Source organism: Homo sapiens, chromosome 3, assembly GCF_000001405.40.
Source record: "Homo sapiens chromosome 3, GRCh38.p14 Primary Assembly".
In the NCBI taxonomy this organism is placed as follows: domain Eukaryota; kingdom Metazoa; phylum Chordata; class Mammalia; order Primates; family Hominidae; genus Homo; species Homo sapiens.
In genome coordinates, this window is record NC_000003.12 from 182,933,245 (window position 1) to 182,951,990 (window position 18,746).

General features: G+C 37.3%; 1 protein-coding gene across 11 annotated transcripts in view; it reads right to left on the bottom strand.

Moving 5' to 3' along the window:
* Nucleotides 1–4,829: 4,829 nt before the first annotated feature.
* Nucleotides 4,830–18,746, bottom strand: part of DCUN1D1 (defective in cullin neddylation 1 domain containing 1) — a 47,845-nt gene continuing 33,928 nt past the window's right edge. For 6 of the 11 annotated variants that reach the window (XM_011512914.2, XM_011512915.3, XM_011512916.3 and 3 more), the window contains 3 exons: nt 14,306–14,388; nt 13,994–14,090; nt 4,914–7,295 (listed from right to left, as the gene is read on the bottom strand). In XM_011512914.2, coding sequence (XP_011511216.1) covers nt 7,153–7,295; nt 13,994–14,090; nt 14,306–14,388 — 323 coding nt within the window. In that variant the 3' untranslated portion in view covers nt 4,914–7,152. Of the gene's footprint in view, nt 11,930–13,993; nt 14,091–14,305; nt 14,389–18,746 lie in introns of all 11 variants that reach the window. The other 5 variants (NM_001308101.2, NM_020640.4, XM_024453601.2 and 2 more) reach the window with 2 other exon arrangements.

The window sequence follows — 18,746 nt, forward strand, 5'->3', positions numbered from 1 at the left end:
GTGCATGCCTGTAATCCCTGCTACTCGGGAGGCTGAGGCAGGAGAATCGACTGAACCAGGGGAACTGGAGGTTGCAGTGAGCTGAGATCACACCACTGCACTCCAGCCTGGGTGACAGAGCGAGACTCCATCTCAAAAAAAAAAAAAAAAAAAAGAATACTTAAAAAAATAAATTAAACCAAAGTACAATACCTGCAAACAGAACATCATAAAACTGCTTAGGAAAATTGAACATCTAAATAAATGACGACATCCTGTGTTTCTGGATTGGAGGACTCAATATTCTTAAAATGGCAATCCCCCTCAAATTAATCTATAGATTTAATGTAAGATTTCTAACCCTTGGCATTATTGACACTTAGGACAACTCTTTGTTATATGGAGCCATCCTGTGCATTAAAAAATGTTTAGCAACATCCTCGGCCCCACTAGATGCCAGTAGCTCCACCCTACTCTAGTTGTAATAAAAAATGTCTCCAGACATTGCCAAATGACCCTTCGGTGCAAATTTGCCCCTGATTGAGAACCATTCAACAGTGGTTACAATCTCCATCAAATTCCCAGCAGGACTTTTTAAAAAAGTTTTTGGGTTTTTGTTGTTGTCGTTTTCTAAGAAAAACTGACACTAAAATTCGTACATAGAGGCCGTAGAGGCCTGGCATGGTGGCTCACACCTGTAATCCCAGCACTTGGGGAGACTGAGGCGGACAGATCACTTGAGGCCAGCAGTTCAAGACCAGCCTGACCAACATGAAAAAAACCCATTTCTACTAAAAGTACAAAAACTAGCTGGGTGTGGTGGTGGGTATCTGTAGTCCCAGCTACTCAGGAGGCTGAGGTGGGAGAATCACTTGAACCCAGGAAGCAGAGGTTGCAGTGAGCCAAGATCACGCTATTGTACTCCAGCCTGGGTGACAGAGTAAGACTCTGTCTCAAAAAAATATAGTAATAATAATAATCAAATGCAAGTATCAAGGACCTAAAGTGATCAAAAATTTCATAAAATCACAAAGTTGGAGAACTGAAAGCACTGATGTGAAAACAGAAAGCTCTGGCAGCCAAGGCAGTGTGCCATAGGTTTAAGATTTGACCTCGAAATCCATGGAAAAGAAGGGAGCCCAGAAATAAACCCACACACACGGGCAACTGATTTTGACAAAGGTACCAAGATAATTAAGTGGGGAAAGGATAGTCTTTTTAATGGATAGTACTGGAAAAACTGGATATCTTTTTGTAAAAAAAATAAAGAAGAACCTAGACCGTTACTTCACATACCACATGTATAAATTAACTCAAATCCAATGAGAAACCTAAAATGAAGACCTACAAATATAAAACTTATAGAGAAAATAAGGACGGACCCAGTGGCTCGCACCTGTACTCCCAGCACTTTGGGGGACTAAGGCAAGAGGATGGCTTCAGCCTAGCAGTTCAAGACCAGTATGGCCAACATAGTGAGACCCCATCTCTATGAAAACTTTACAAATTATCTACATGTGGTGGCACATGCCTGTAGTCCTGCCTACTAGGAGGCTGAGATGGGAAAATCACTCGAGCCTAGGAGGTTGAGGCTGCAGTGAGCCATGACTGCACCACTGCACTCCTGCCTGATAGAGCAAGACCCTGTCTCAAAAAAAAACACGATTAAGAAAATGAAAAGACAAGCCACCAACCAGGAAAAAGTAAATACAAAATATATATCTAAGATTTGATCCAGAATATATTTTTTAAATCTTTTATAACCCAATAAAAAGAAGACATATTCTAAGACAGCACTTGAGTTAATATCCTCAAGGATCTCTCAGTATAAAAGTGGGTGTTTTTTATAACAGAGCAACTGCAGCAAACAGACCAGGTCCTCTGCTATCTCAAAATACTTTGAATAAAGTTATCCATAAAGCACTGATATGTCCTACCTCCCCATCAGGAGGAACGTTGGCAGGTAACAGAAACATGGGATCCTGCTAACCACAGCTAATAGGCACAGAAGCCAGCCTGTTCTAGTCACAGGCTAACAGTTTCAAAAGGGATCCATCTTTTTGGTGGATTGTCATTTTACAGAAGACTTCTTCAAATTGAACAGAATCAAAGTGCTCATCAAAACGGGGATATCATGCTGAACCAATTACTACTTAAACATGCAATTGGCAATGGGAAATAGGTTGTGATCTCTGAAGAGATAAGGCTCTACCAGAAAAGATTAAACAGTCATCAGAGAAGATCCTGCCTAACAGAGCTTTAATAGCTAAACTGATAATTTGGATTTAGAACTTGAATTCCTTCCTACGCAACTTTGGGAACTTGCCTTCAAAGGCACATCCTGGCACTGGTGTCTTTAGACCAATGGACAGACTCTTCCTAGGCCTGGTTAAAGAGGAAGACATTCTCCAAAGCAGTTATACAAATTTACCGGGATCTCTCACTCTGAAGTAAATGTACAAATCAAACAGACTCTCTGAGAGGAGCTGGCAATAACGCATAAATTAGCTTTTAGGAAACATTTTAAAGTAACCACTTTCTCAATCACTCTCCCTCTAGAAATAAATATAAAATCTTTCCTGAAATGAATGTAAACGTTGACTTTCACTTATAGAATGGAACACACTTCAAGTTCTATAAACGTTAAATGAAACCTACAGCAGGCCATGGATTTGGACTGAGCTCCTGCATTATACCCAACAGACCAAACCGAAATGAAGTCACTCATGCTAAAGTTCCAGGCCACCAAACCAAAACTAAGTTGTTTATCTGAGCTTCTGATAAATCAGGAGAGAGAGATAACAGCCAAATCTCCAAACAGGCCAGTTTTAGCCTGCATGATGAGAAAGTCCCCTCTATTTTACCCTTACAAGGGAAGTAACCTGAAGTAACCTAATGTTAACCAACTGCATTTTGTATTATGCTGTTTCTTTGCTCCTGCTCAAGATACCTTATAAAAACTGACTGTTCTTCCATGCCCAGTGTAGATTTTTAGATAAGATGCTGCCCAATTCATAAATTGTGAATAAACGCCAATTAGATCATTTAACATTTCAAATTTATTGATATTTTTTTCACAGATATAAATATCAAGGGTTACTTCTCTCTAGAAAGACCCACAGCTCATCAGCTCAAGCAAGTTAGTGAACAAGGAACTGGCTACAGCTAGGAAACCTGATCCAGCTACCTAAATCCAGGGGAAGAGAGTTATACAGATTTATTCCAGCTATGATAGGGTTGGTCTAAAGAACACATCCTCCCTTGAGTAAAGTCATAGCACTATTAAAAGTTAAGGGAAGAAAGTAGGCCAGGGAGTGCTCAAAGTGAAAAAATCAAAGGAAACAATTCTATTCCATCTGAATTCAGGCTTCCCAAATTCTTCTGTCAGCTAGGTAGGGTATCAATACTTCATGTCATTATTTTCCCCCCGATAAGGATAGCACACAGAAACTACCAACCTATTCTCCCTCGCAGCTTAGTGGAGGTACAACAAGGAGGCCCAAAAACTGCCTGTATCCAGCTAAGCGTGGGCTGGGCAGTAACTCTCTCAGACAGGAATGCTATGCAGAGCAGCCCCTTCACACACTCCTGCTAGTAAGAAAATATTGCAAAGTTACAGTCTGCTTGGCCTTAAACTACTTTCAAAAACCACTGAAAACATATTCCCTACACACTCCTTCCAGACATGACAAAAGTAGTATACTTGTATCTTCAATATTATTAGCTGGATTTTCTACTTATTTACCAAGTTCCATTCATCAAAAATTAATAGAAGGTGCAGTGTTTCCTGTTTTTAAATGGGGAAATTTTGAAGAGGGAAAATTTACAGCTACATGTGTATGAAATAGAAATGCAACAATCCTATGTGTAATCAGTTCTCTCTCCAAAATCAGATAAAATGGGGAACTATGTATTTTCCTGATGCTTTCAAAGAACGTATTATGAAGTTCCACTGTACTGTCTTTAGATATGCATGCCTATATTTAATTTTTAAAATCACTATGGACATGTAATTCATATGCCATAAGACTGTCTTAAAATTTTTAATATATTCACAAAGTAGTACAATCATCACCACTAATTCTAGAACATTTTAATCATTCCAAAAAGAAACTTGTATCTATTAGTTCTCACTTTGTATTCTCCACCTCCAACCCTAGCCCCTGGCAACCGCTAATCTTTCTCTCTATAGATTTGCCTATTCTGGATGTGTCATACAAATGGAATAGTACAATGTGTGCCCTTTTGTGACTGGCTTAACTGAGCATAATGTTTTCAAGATTTATGCACGTTGCAGCATGTATCAGTACTTCCCTCATTCCTTTTTACTGCCAAATATTATTCCACTGAATGACTATTAAGATTGCACTTATCCAGTCATGAGTTAATGGACATGTAATGGGTTGTTTACAATTTTTGGCAATTATGAATGCTGTAAATACACACAAATTTTTATATGAACATGTTTCCAATCCTCTGGAGTATATAACTAGGAGAATTGCTGGTCATATCCTAACTCTGTTTAACTATTAAATGAGGAATAGCCAAACTGTCTGCCAAAGCAGCTGCACCGGTTTGCAGTCCTATCAGCAACTTACAGATGACCCAGGGGCTCCACATCCTCAGCAACACTTGTCACTGTTTATCTTTCTGATTAAAGCAATCCTAGCAGGCAGGAAGTGGTATCTCATTGTGGTTTTGATTTGCATTTCCCTAATGGCTAATGATATTGAGCATCTTTTCACACCCTTAGTGACCATTTGTATATCTTCTTTGGAGAAATGTCCATTCAAATCCTTGGCTCAATTATAAATTGGGTTGTTTTTTCATTAAGTTGTAAGAGTTCTGGATACAAGTCACGATGTATTTTTAAGTTAAAGGAAAATCTGTTGATATAATAGCTTCTTATATACTACATTAACTTGAAAAATATATTCGTTAGAATTTTTTTATTAAGTACATCAAAATTTCACCTTACATTTGAAATTGCATAGAAATTTAAAGTGCTAAAGCAATCATTGTTTTTTCAAAAAAATGAATTTGAAGCCAAAGAGTGGAGAGTGTGGGGATCCACTGGGTAGGACATTTGAGATGTATGCAATGTAGGAATCTTATTTGAATCCTGACTTGAATTGGAAAAAAAAAAAAAAAGGCACAACTTGAACACTGCTGGGTAGTTATTAACACTAACAAACTGTTAACAGTTAAGTCTAACAACAGAATTGTGGTTTTATTTAACAGTCCTTATCTTTTAGACATACATATTGAAATATTTACAAATGAAATGATTTGCTATCTGGGATTTGCTTCAAAATAAATAGGGGTTCAAAGATGAATGGCATTTAGATAAATCAAGATTGGCCATGGATTGATCATGTTAACATGAGTTCATTATGCAATTGTCCTTTTACATATACCTGACATACGCCATTAATTTTTTAAAAAGCACTCACTCCGATGTCTCCTATGTATAAGAACACAGGCAGCTGGCAGCAACTAAATGGTATCAACTAAATTTTTATAAATTCCAAGAGTCGTTAATTCTCAGCTATCTCAAAAGTAAAATCTCTGGGAAACTTAATATTAAGACAGTAACTATCTGCACACAGTAATCTGTACAAAGTTTAATTACCACCACCAGTCAGTCATAGGCTAGTCGAGTAGCTGTATCAACCTTGGTACAAACAATAACAGAGCCAAAGCACCAGCCATCAGCACCACTCTTCGCTGACACATTTCTTCTCACCAGAGATCACTGAGGGACTGGAACCCCCACTGGAAGTATTATTATTACCCTCACTGACTACAGAAAATACTACCTCCAAGAGAGTACATGTCTACTAGAGTAACTAATTTTACAGCAATCGCTGAGGCCACTTGAAACTCACTCAAACTGCACATCCAATCGATACACGAGTTGGGATGCCTAGGTATAACTCACACACATAAAGTAAATACCCGCCAGGATGGCTGCAATAAAAAAGACAAGTATTGGCAAGGATGTGCAGACACGGCAGTCCGCATGCACTGTGGCAGGAATAGTTCTAGAAGTACAGCCACTTTGGAAAAAGTTCAGCAGTTTTTTTAAAAACGTTAGGTATAAATTTACCACACAACCTGACAATTCCACAACTAGGAATCTGAGATGAAAACATGTCCACACAAAGACATTTATGAATGTTCATAGCATTATTATTCGCAATTTAAAAAAACTAATTGTAGGCCAGCCAAATGTCTATCAACTGGTGAATGGATAAACAAAATGTGGTATATCCAAACAGTGAACACTAAGTCAGCAACTAAAGGAACTACACGCAGGTATAAGCTGCAACATGGATGAACCTCAAAAACATGCTAAGTGAAAGATGCCAGATATAAAAGACTAACTGCATGATTCTACCTCTGTGAAATTTCTAGAAAGGGTAAATCTGTACAGAAAGCAGATCAGTGTGGCTGCGTGGGGCTGGAGGCAGGAGCAAATTAACCGCAGAGCAGCAGGAGTAAATTTTGGGGGCTGATGGACATGTTCTAAAATTGGACTGCACAACTCTTAAGTTTACTAAAAACAATTAATTGTACATGTACAATGGGTGAATTTTACAGTGTGTAAATTATACAAAGCAATTTTTTAAGTACCATTGTAACAAAGTCTTACAAATCACTATTTTAAAGCTCTGGTTCATAGTTCGTTCATTTGATATATTCAACACAACGAAGTCTAATATACTATTAGGATTAAGAACATTAGCATTTGCTTGAAAACTAAACACGCTGCTTTCAAAGGATTCCAAGTACACCCATCTCTAAATCTTACTGATTAAATATTGCTCTTTTAGCTATAAGTCATGTAATTATGTGACAAAATCACTGTTAACGATTTAATTAGCATTGTCCCTTAGCCATTTCATTAATTGGTCTTCCCCCAACCTTATGCCCTATAGTATTTCTTTTTGTAAAAATCTCTTGCTTCGTATTGGGTATTGCCCAAGTTTTCCATCAGATATAAGGTTTTCTCAGAATATTTCATAACCTGAAATAAAATTATAATATTCATATGAACATGCATTTGAATATATATGTACTTTTTAAATATAAAATGAGTATGTTCCGTTTGTTTGCTCATTAAGCCACTTACATGCTGCCCCTAAGTTTCAAACACTTCATTGTTTCCAATCAGGCTTTGTTTTTACGATGTGGGTTGAAAATTCTTCTTTTCAAAGCAGTGCTGCCTTCAGTGATTAAGCTGGCATGAATTTCAGTCTGACTCCATTTCTTTCCATTCCGCTGACAGATATGCCAAAGAGGTAACAGTCCCTCTAAAGCCAATCATTAAAAAAAATTTTTTTAACTGAGTATTTTTCCCCAAACCAAATCGAATATGAAACACTAACAGCCTACAACAGATAAAAGTAGAATGCCATAAAGGAAGTGGGAAAGGGCCTGCCTGCTATGGCCCTACCTCATGAAGGACAGCAGCCCCAAGTTACAGCTTCAAGACCAATGCTCTGAAGTATTACAAGCTACATTATGATTTCTGCACAGCATGATGGCAAAAAATAAAAAAGAAAACAATCATGAAGCACTTGTAAGTAAATAGAAAATTGGGCTATACTTAAAAACACTTTTAAAATCTCAATTTAAAAAATGGACAACTATAACATGATTCCCTTTAAATAATTTCCCTTTAAAACTCCATAAAGACATTACTTATTGAGAATTCCACTAACTACAAAGGCTGTGCATCTTTTACCATAACTTCCTTATTTGTGACAGATTTTTCAAAATCAACCAAAGGAAAATAAAAAAACACATTAATAGGAAACACTGAACCTAGTCAAATAAATGAGTTGGTGAGCAAGAAATGCTACTTACTCAACAGGTAGGAAAGAAAATAAGATAGCAAGAATGCTCTGATAAAATCATTTATGTAACTATATTATGAGTTTGAAAAAACAGCACTATTTGCCTCCAGAAATCGGGTACAAATAAAGCAAATATTTAAGAAAAATGGCAACAAATAGCAAAGATAAACCTGGAAAAGGGCATTTGTACTATTAGGAACTTTCTCATTTATCTTAACTACAAAATATACACCCCTTTCCCTCAGAAATCAAAGATAAAGGTGTCATGATAAATAACTTCACCACAGTCCTATGAAATAAAAATAGAAATTATTGCTATATTATGATTGTAAAAATGGAGGCAATAAAGAGTTCAGAAATATACTCATTTATAATCAATTAAATGATGAGTCATAATTTGAACCCTAATTATCACATTATGTAGAAATCACAATTCAGGTTTTGTGTCCCCATTTATATGTTAAATAGTTCACATTTAAAAAAACATTTTATCATTACATTATCAAATTTGATAAAATCTTATGAAAACATCTAAGTATTCAATATAAATCATACTGTTAAAAGTATAAGGTAACATTAAAACTGCTGAGGTGCCAGATAAGTATTTTCTGTTAAATATACACAATTTAACATTTAAAACTACATAAATTAATTCTTGCTAAAAGTTGATTCAGTTTTACAAAGGCATACTTTGTGAACCATGGTGAATTTCCCCAGCACCACTTTTTTATTCCAAAACTCCTTCGATTAGGTTTAACTTTCTCCTGTCATTCATATGTGAAAATTACAGAAGGTTTACAATACGTAGTCTTAATAGTAACATGTTTAAAAACCTAAGCAAAGTGTACATTAAGTTAGCTACTACTACTCACTTCTTGATTATCATCAAATAAAAAATAAATGAACACTTCATTCATTTAAGTCTGAGGAAAAAATAGTGTACCTTGCTTAAATAAGAATTCCCCAGTAAAGATATTACGTAAAGGATTTCTCATGTTATTTTGTTGAGTAAATTTACTTTCTCTCATTAAAACTTTTTAAAAGTCTAAGGAAGGACATGTACTTATAATGCCATATTATGCAAGTACAGTATTGTTAATAAAGCAGCCCAGTATAGTTGTAAACATCTTAAATGTAGTAAACAAGACTTGGCATGTCTTTTCTCCCCAAAACATGCCATTACAATGCTCTTTCCATGAATAATTATTCTTCCTAGAAAAGTTTTCAGGTATATTTTAAATCTATAAAAAAAATACACTGAAATATGTGAAAAGATTTAGTCATGGCAATTTCACTGCAGCTTTTATTGCCTCTGTTGGTAATATGACAGGGACTGTAAGAAACACAATTGAACTTACAGAGATATGCAGATGATATTCACTAAAGATAATCTTCATCTCAAGTATTTTTTATATGTGGGCACTTCTAATTTTATACATTTTTCTATTTAAAAAGCATTACATTTTAAAATTTGTACCTGTTTTGACATTTGGCAAAAAGGAAACTGTACCTATGGTTCAGTTTAAAACAAAGAATCAGCATGGGGAGTTTACCGGAATGAGGACTGAAACACTTAGGAGTTAAAGCAATTCAAGGGGCGTGTGTGTGTCTCTCCCTTTCTCTGTCAATCTCTCTCACTCTCTCTGGCTCTCTCACAGACACAGACTCAAACACACACAGCCATATGTGTAATCATTTTTTAGTACAAAATATTCCCTGTAGCCAGACATTTATCTTCAGAATAATCACACCACATTAAATCAGTCTTCTCTTTTCAGCCCTAGTAAAAGTTTTGTTTAATTCTAAGATGCCATCATAGTGAACAACCTTAACTTTTATGCTACATAATTATATTCAAAGCTTTATGTATTTTTGTTTATAATTACACAGTAATTATAAATGTTTAGTACCAACCTGATGACAAACACTATTTTGTTGAAAAGGTTTTGCATTTAAAAAGAAAAATATGTAAAATCCAAGGCACTAGGCCACGAACCAATATGACTTTTAAAGAAAACACTTTATATTGAAAAAAAAAAAAAAAAAAAAAAGCTAATGGGATCTCATTTCAAAACACAGCATATGTGAATTAATCAATCTGAAACCAATAACCATAACTCAAAATCTTCAAGACAGGAAACAAAACAGTACATATATATAGATATATAGATATATATATCTTTTAAAAATTTTTCATAATTGAAGTTCCTCTTTATATTTACAAAAAAATCAGGAAATACTGAAAGCAGCAAGATTCTTCTTTTTCCTTTTTCTTTTAATAACCAATTCCAGTAGCCTGAATAGAAATTTTCAAATTTTTCTTTTGGTAAAACTGCATTCTTGAATTAAAGTTATGATTGGAATATTAATATGTCTATAGGGAAAGCTTTCTAGTCTATTTCAAAATCATGTAAAAAGCAGTTTTGATATGTCATTGTTTCTTAAAATAATTTCCATATTTGCATAAAATGTACTGCTATTCTAAGTACATTCCTTTGTTAATATCAACCCTAGACCTTAGAGAGTGCCTGGATATATATCCCAAGCAGAATCTATTCCTATCAAAAGACCATAATCATCAAACATTTGAAGTATTACATTTCTAGCCTGCCTTACGGAAATGTTTAAGAAAGCAAGAAACCCTTCTTCACATGTCAGTAAGTGAACAGGGAAATGACCATTTTCAGCATAAAAGCAGCTCATGGGGCTTGTAATGAAAAAAATACATACAAGATAGCATTCTGCTTTGATGAGAAAACTGAGCTAATCTGAGTGAAACGAAAACAGTAAAGAGACTAGAAGCCAGATTGGTATTTTGCATCGTGTATGCTTGTTTGAAAATCTTTGCTCCTGAAGTAAATATTTGGCAACCACAGTGATTAGCAGTTAAAGCAATTTCAACAAAATAATAAGTCATCGAAAATGGACTATTTGTCTGAAAGAGCAGTACCTATATTATAAAGATTGAACTTCATGGCTCATTACAACCATTTTCAAAATTTAACTGCAACTATCTTCTTATAAATTAAGAGAATTCCATTTGTGTTCCATAGTGCGATGACAAAAAAAAAGTAAAAACAAAACAAAAAAACCCTCATGCCTAAATTTAGAATATTGTATTGTGTAGCAATCCAAAACATTCAAAACAAATTAAATAGTTTAACTTATGTGACAGGCAGATAAGCATTTCAAAAGCATAATGAAGTCCAATTATGTAGTGCATAATGTAGACAGGAGAAGAATCTAACATTATGCAGACATTTTCTAAATAAAAGCTCCCTGTAGGACAGCTATATATAAACATGGGTAAGGTAAGCGCAGACTAGTTCTGTGGAACCTTTTGAAATCAAGAGTCTAAAACACAATACATTTTTCAGGTAGGCACCAAGTTATCCTAAAAAATTTTCATGTCGGTTATTCTGACATTGTTTTTTCATCAGATACTCACATCAACAACACATGTGATTTGCCAGGAAAAAAAAAAAATTCCCCCCAAACCAAAACACCATTCCAGATCCAGTACACTTAAATATATCACTCTCACTGGAAGTGCTATTAGCATAGTCTTTGCAACTAGCCCAAAGCGTATATTTAAGAAGTTTTTATAAATTGTTTTGTGATGTTCATATGTTTAATTCTTATGCCAACTGTTTTCTGATGAAGACAGCATTGTGCTTTATGCGAGAATGAAAACCTCAAAATAATCACCATAAAGCTTCTAAGACTTATGGGAGAATAAACTAGGATGGTCCACAGATATAAGATGAAATCCACAATGTTGGAATTATAAATGTTTAGAGCGGCCCAGACTAGAAGACAAGCCCAAACCACCATTAGAAGAATGAAATACGATATGGTCCAAGATGTATCCTTAAAGTTTTGTCTCAACCCTCAGTCTGAATTGTGAGGATTGATCTTCAGTTCAGTCCAGCCAGCAGAAATTGACTGTGCAATTTTCTGTTGTATTTATTGTACAGACTATGTACATTCTAGAAGGTTCCTTTAGTGCTACACTGTTGTACTTTTTGTCCCAGCAATTTGAGGGCGTGCAAATTCCACAAAGTCATCAATAAGAACAGGCCATGCTCCTGGAAAAAAGAAAAAATATGAAAGAAAGAGAAGGGGGAAAAAAGCAGAAATAAGGCTAACATTTTAGTAGAATCCTTTTTTTAAGACTTCCTCATAAGCGTTAAAGTATATCATTCTTATCTATTCCCACTGATTAAGTCTTTCAAAACTCAAACTTTTTGGAGTTTTTACCCCAAATATTCCTTGTATTCCTTGTGATTTATTACTCCAACATTTGGTTGTTCCTTGAGTGATAAAAGTAACTTGTCTGGCAACTCATCAATAATATGATTTTCTCAAGGCCACTGCAGTCAGCCAATGGAAGTAATTTGGTCAAAACTGGCAGCCTGAGGCAGGAGAATGGTGTGAACCCGGGAGGCGGAGCTTGCAGTGAGATCGCGCCACTGCACTCCAGCCTGGGGGACAGAGCGAGACTCCCTCTCAAAACAAACAAACAAACAAACAAAAAACTGGCAGCCTAAGGAGCAGCTATGAAATGATAGCATGCTGCCAGTGCTGAAGGCATAGGAGGAGAAACAAGTTTTCAAGCATTCTGTGGCCATCTCACAAAGGAGATTAACAGGAAGTGTCAAATTCCATCCTATTTCATGCTAATACGTTACTAAAAGGTGTAAAATTGCATATATGCATGCCTCTACACATTCACATGCCCATCACCAAGTCAGAAAGCTCTCCATTTTTGTGTAAAACCTACCAGAAGACACAATTATTAGGTATATGCAGGATTAAACATTTCTCACTTTGCAGGGAAGATTATAAACGACAACGAAATGAAGAAAAGAAATAACATCATCCCTGATTAGCCTTAATGATTCCAGGACACTTTTAAATGATTCCAGGACACCGAGATCACAGGGGGTTTTTCAAAAAATATCTCCATCTTGCATCCTGCCAGTTCTCAAGTGGACTAGGGAAATATGTATGAAGAAATCAATGTAAATCACTTCTACATATAGAAAAATACAAGTCCACATCCTAGTAGTGGATGGTAGCACCATCTTTATACATTTATGAAGAAATAGCAGAAAAGTATTCAGTGATTATTTACTGAATGCCAATAGTACTATATTAGGCGGCTGAAGTAAGTTTCAAAAAAAAATAGGCTGGGCGCAGTGGCTCATGCCTGTAATCCCAGCACTTCGGGAGACCGAGGCGGGTGGATGACAAGGTCAGGAGTTCAACACCAGCCTGGCCAACATGGTGAAACCCCGTCTCTACTAAAAATACAAAAAATTAGGTGAACGTGGTGGCAGGCACCTGAAATCCCAGTTACTTGAGAAGCTGAGGCAGCAGAATCGCTTGAACCCAGGAGGCACAGGTTGCAGTGAGCTGAGACTGCGCCACTGCACTCCAGCCTGGGTGACAGAGCAAGACTCCATCTCAAAAAAAAAAAAAAAAAAAAAAGTCACTGAACTTAAGGAATTTACAACCAAGCTTATACAAAAGACTAACAGATGAAAAAGAGATACAAATAAGTACAAAAGTACATCAAGAAGTAAAAAGGTTCCTAAACTGAAAACCTAAAACATGGATAAAAATTACTTATGCCTTTCTGGAAGACATGAATGCTGAGTAGGAATTGAAGGAAACAGAAGAATATGGATTGGTAAATGTATGAAGGTATTTCATACATTCAGAAGAGCATTAAAAAAAGCTTGGAGCTGGTCACAGTGGCTCATGCCTATAATCCCAACACTTTGGGATGCCAAGGCAGGAGGATTGCTTGAGGCCAGGAGTACAAGAGAGCAAGACCCCTGCTTCTATAAAACATTAAGAAATTAGTCAGGCATTGCAGCGCATGCCTGTAGTCCTAGCTCCTTGGGAGGCTGAGGCAGGAGGACTGCTGAGCCCAGGAGTTTGAAGACTTGCAATAAGCCATGCTTGCACCAATGCACCTACCCTGGGCAACAGAATGAGACTCTATCTCAAAAAAAACAAAAACAAAACAAAAGCTCAGCGGAGGGAATTCCAACTCCGAGAAAAACAAAAGTACCTAAGAAGTTCAAGGGTATGGGATAAAAAGGCACATTAAAAAAAAGTGGTGTGGCAAAAATTTTCATTACCTTCTTCATCATAATTAGACATGTCATCTGCAATCATCGTACTGAAGTCTAAAAGAAGATTCCAAGTGTCTTTTGGTATTGATCGTTTATGATGTTCCTATTTAAAAAACAAAAACAAAATACATTTGTATCACTAAAAAGAGCTGCACAAAAACAGTTTGGACAATTTGAAATACAAGAATGCAAAACAATTATGTAACAAAATTCTGGTAATCAAATTTCTCATTCTATATCCAATACATTATGTTAATTTATCTTTAAACATAGCAGAATTTGAGAAAACAGAGAGAAATGTAGAAAATGTGAACTTACCAACAAAAATTTATTCCATAAGTCTAAGAATTTAAATCTTCCATTAAGCACTAAGTTCCAGTAGGCAATGGCCATTTCTAGATCTGAAATAGTAAAAATGAATTATGTATTTAAATGCTATAAATATTTGTCCCTGCAAAAATAACAAACAAACAAAAAAACAGGTATGACCAAAGAAAGTCTAAAAATAAAAAACTTGTATCCTGAATACTTATGTATTAAAAATTTCCTATACAAATGAGTCCAAAGTTTGTATCCTCCCTCTTCAAAAATGACCAGGGCCTTTAGGGCAAAAAATGATACTACTTATCTCACGGGGGAATTCTGTGTTTTAAATTAGAGAATGCAGTTAAACATAGTAGCTCACAAAAGTGTTCAAATATTAGTTACTGTACACCAGGGTTTCTCAACCTGGGCACTTCCAACATTTTAGGCCAGATAATTATTTGTTGTAGGGTGCTGTCCTGTGTACTGTAGGAAATTTAGCAATATCTCTGACCTCCATCCACTAGATGCCAGTAGCAGCTTCACTCAGCCCCCACTGGTGACAATAAAAAATGTCTCCATATATTGCCAAAGACAACCTGAGGGCCAACCCAGATGAGAATCCCTGATGTACACCTACAGGTTGGAAGGTGAAGGACTGCTCTTCAATCCTAAGTAACCTTATGCTCTAAATTATTTACTGACTGATCCTGACCACAAAGAGATCATTAAAAATACTGATCTAAAACTTAAAATTAATAAGAAACCAAGAATTTCTTAAAGTTTGCCAAAGACAATATAAATGACTTTTTAACTGGGCATGGACCAGAGAAGGGTAGAGAAGGCAATAATGCCGCATAAGAAAGAGCTACACTTACCACACGACAGAGAACTACACTTATCACACGACAGAGAACTACACTTATCACACAACAGAGAACTACGCTTACCACACAACAGAGAACTACACTTATCACATGACAGAGAACTACACTTATCACATGACAGAGAACTATGATCTCTTTCAAGGAACCATAGCAGTTAAGAAAGTGTTTAGTTTTTATGAGTGAATTTACTTCTCCAGCACAAGAAAAATTACATCCTAAGTAACTTAAAAGTCCTTTTATTGATAGATGACATCTCGAAACCATTCTTTATAATTGAGAAATCATGAGTGATTAGGAAAGACAAAAATTGAGGCAAGTGCTGCCCCAATTTTTAAAAGCAACAAAGAGCCAGGCGGGGTGGCTCACACCTGTAATCCCAGCACTTTGGGAGGTTGAGTCGGGCAGATCACAAGGTAAGGAGTTCAAGACCAGCCTGGCCAACATGGTGAAACCCCATCGCTACTAAAAACACAAAAATTAGCTGGGCATAGTGGCGGGCACCTGTAATCCCAGCTACTCGGGAGGCTGAGACTAGAGAATCGCTTGAAACCGGAAGGCGGAGGTTGCACTGAGCCAAGATCACACCACTCCACTCCAGTCTGGGCAAGAAAAGCAAAACTCCGTCTCAAAAAAAAAAAAAACAAGGAACAAAGAGTAGGCTGGGAGCAGTGACTCTCGCCTGTAATCCTAGCACTTTGGGAGGCCGAGGCAGGCAGATCACTTGAGGTCAGGAGTTCAAAACCAGCCTGGCCAACATAGCAAAACCCTGTCTCTACTAAAAATACAAAAAAATTAGCTGGGCGTGGTAGCAGGCACCTGTAATCCCAACTACTTGGGAGGCTGAGACAGGAGAATTTCTTGAACCTGGGAGGTGGAGGTTGCAGGGGGCCAAGATCATGCCACTGCACTCCAGCCTGGGCAACAGAACAAGACTCCGTCTCAGAAACAAACAAAAAAGAGCAAACTTGATGCTAATTCACTGTCAAAAACAGATGATTTGTAAGAAATCAATTATAGGCTGCATGCAGTGGCTCATGCCTGTAATCCCATCACTCTGGGAAGCTGAGGCGAGAAGACTGCTTGAGATCAGGAGTTCAAGACCAGCCTGGGCAACATAGCAAGACCCCATCTCTAGAAAAAATTTAAAAATTAGCCATTCATGGTGGTGCATGCCTGTATTCCCAGCTACTCCAGGAAGCTGAAGCGGGAGAATCCTTTGAGCCCAGGAGATCAAGGCTGCAGTAAGCTATGATCATGCCACTGCACTCCAGCCTGGGTGACAGGTGACATCTCTTAAAAACAAACAACACAACAACATAAAAAACAATACCTACTTCCCCACCCCCACATACACACACAGTAGCTGGAAACCTGCAAGACTGACCCTTAACTTTCTTCAATGATGGAGACTACATATTCCTCAACTAGCAGACTGAAATACACAGTAGGCATTCAGAAACTGCTAAGTCGACAAACTTCCTATGGTTTCACATACAAACATACTTACCTTCAAATCCATCATCCTCATCTTCCTTCAAACTCAACAGAAGAAACTCTCCTTTCTTCTATCCAAGGATAAGCCCCTTATAGCTCTATTCTAAATCCAATACCATCCTACCTCTTTAAGGAATCTTGTCTGTTGATTTGCTTTCCCCTCTTCTCAACATCTCCAACTTTACCTTGTTCTCTGGCATTTCGAACTCCATCAAGAAACATGCTCAAGTTATCACTTATCTTTTTTTTTTGAGATGGAGTCTCACTGTGTCACCAGGCTGGAGTGCTGTGGTGCAATCTCGGTTCACTGCAACCTCCGACTCCCTGGTTCAAGCAATTCTCCTGCCTCAGCCTCCTGAGTAGCTGGGATTACAGGAACGCACCACCACGACCGGCTAATTTTTGTATTTTTAGTAGAGACGGAGTTTCACTACGTTGGCCAGGATGGTCTCTATCTCCTGACCTTGTGATCCGCCTGCCTCAGCCTACCAAAGTGCTGGGATTACAGGCATGAGCCACCGCGCCCAGCCAAGTTATCACTTATCTTTTAAAAATCTTTCTTGGATCTTTTTTTTTGACCAATCAAAATAGGTTTGTTTTTATTATTGTTATTATTATTTGAGACACGGTCTCACTCTGTAGCTCTCTTGGATCTCTTGATCACCTTTACTGGCTATACCCTTTTTCTCCTTCCCTTCACAGGTAACCTTGAAATAGCACTCAGAGTCTTCTACTTTTATACATAATTTGTTTGAAAATCAAATTCTGATGCCCATGTTTTAAGAGAACTAAAAAATACATAATACTGGCTGGGCGCAGTGGCTCACGGGTGTAATCCCAGCACTTTGGGAGGCCAAGGTGGGCGGATCACCTGGGGTCAGGAGCTCGAGACCAGCCTGACCAACATGGCGAAACCCCATCTCTACTAAAAATGCAAAAAAATTGGCCGGCACGATGGTGGGCACTTGTAATCCCAACTACTCGGGAGGCTGAGGCAGGAGAATCGCTTGAATCCGGGAGGCAAAGGTTGCAGTGAGCCAAGATGGCGCCATTGCACTCCAGCCTGGGTGACAAGAACAAAACTCTGTCTCAAAAAAAAAAAAAAAAAAAAAAAAAAATACATAACACCAATTTCTAATGGCACTTCCCTTTTAATCTTTGCAATGTGTAAAATCTGTAAAGCCAATATTCCTTCCAGGTTGTTCAATTCTGTTCTTTTCTTTACCAACTCAACATACAATTGTCTGGCTTAAGTGCCAAAAATGTTGTGACTAAATATTTGCTGTTATTAGTGTGCTTAATTCACTTCACTTTAAATGCTTTAAGTTTATCAGAACTAAGCATATTGCTAGTATATTTTTTTCCTTTTCAACTAATTTGTATAAAATAAGGATGATGATGAAATATTCAAATAAGTACTAACCATGTGGCACCTATAAATGCCAGTATGTCAAGCTGATATACCAAAATAAGAATTTGACAAAAGTAAAAGTTCAGGTTGTAATCCTGAACAACATAGTGAGACTTGGTCTCTACTAAAAATCAAAAAAACCAGCCGAGCATGGTTGTACATGCCTGTAGTCCCAGCTACTCAAGAGGTTGAGGCAGGAAGAGTGATGGAGCCCAGGAGGTTGAGGCTGCAGTGGGTCATGATTGTGCCACTGCACTCCAGCCTGGGTGACAGAGAGAGACCCTGTCTCCCAAAAAAAAAAAAAAAAAAAAAAAAAAAAACCACCACACACAAAAGAAAGAAAGTTCAGGTTGTAAAAGAAGATAATTTCTTTTTTTTTTTTTTTTTGAGACGGAGTTTCACTCTTGTTGCCCAGGCTGGAGTGCAGTGGTGCGATCCCTGCTCACCACAACCTCCGCCTCCCGGGTTCAAGTGATTCTCCTGCCTCAGCCTCCCAAGTAGCTGGGACTACAGGCATGAGCCACCATGCCCAGCTAATTTTTTATTTTTAGTAAAGACAGGATTTCTCCCTGTTGGTCAGTCTGGTCTCGAACTTCTGACCTCAGGTGATCCGCCCACCTCGGCTTCTCAAAGTGCTGGGATTACAGGTGTGAGCCACCACGCA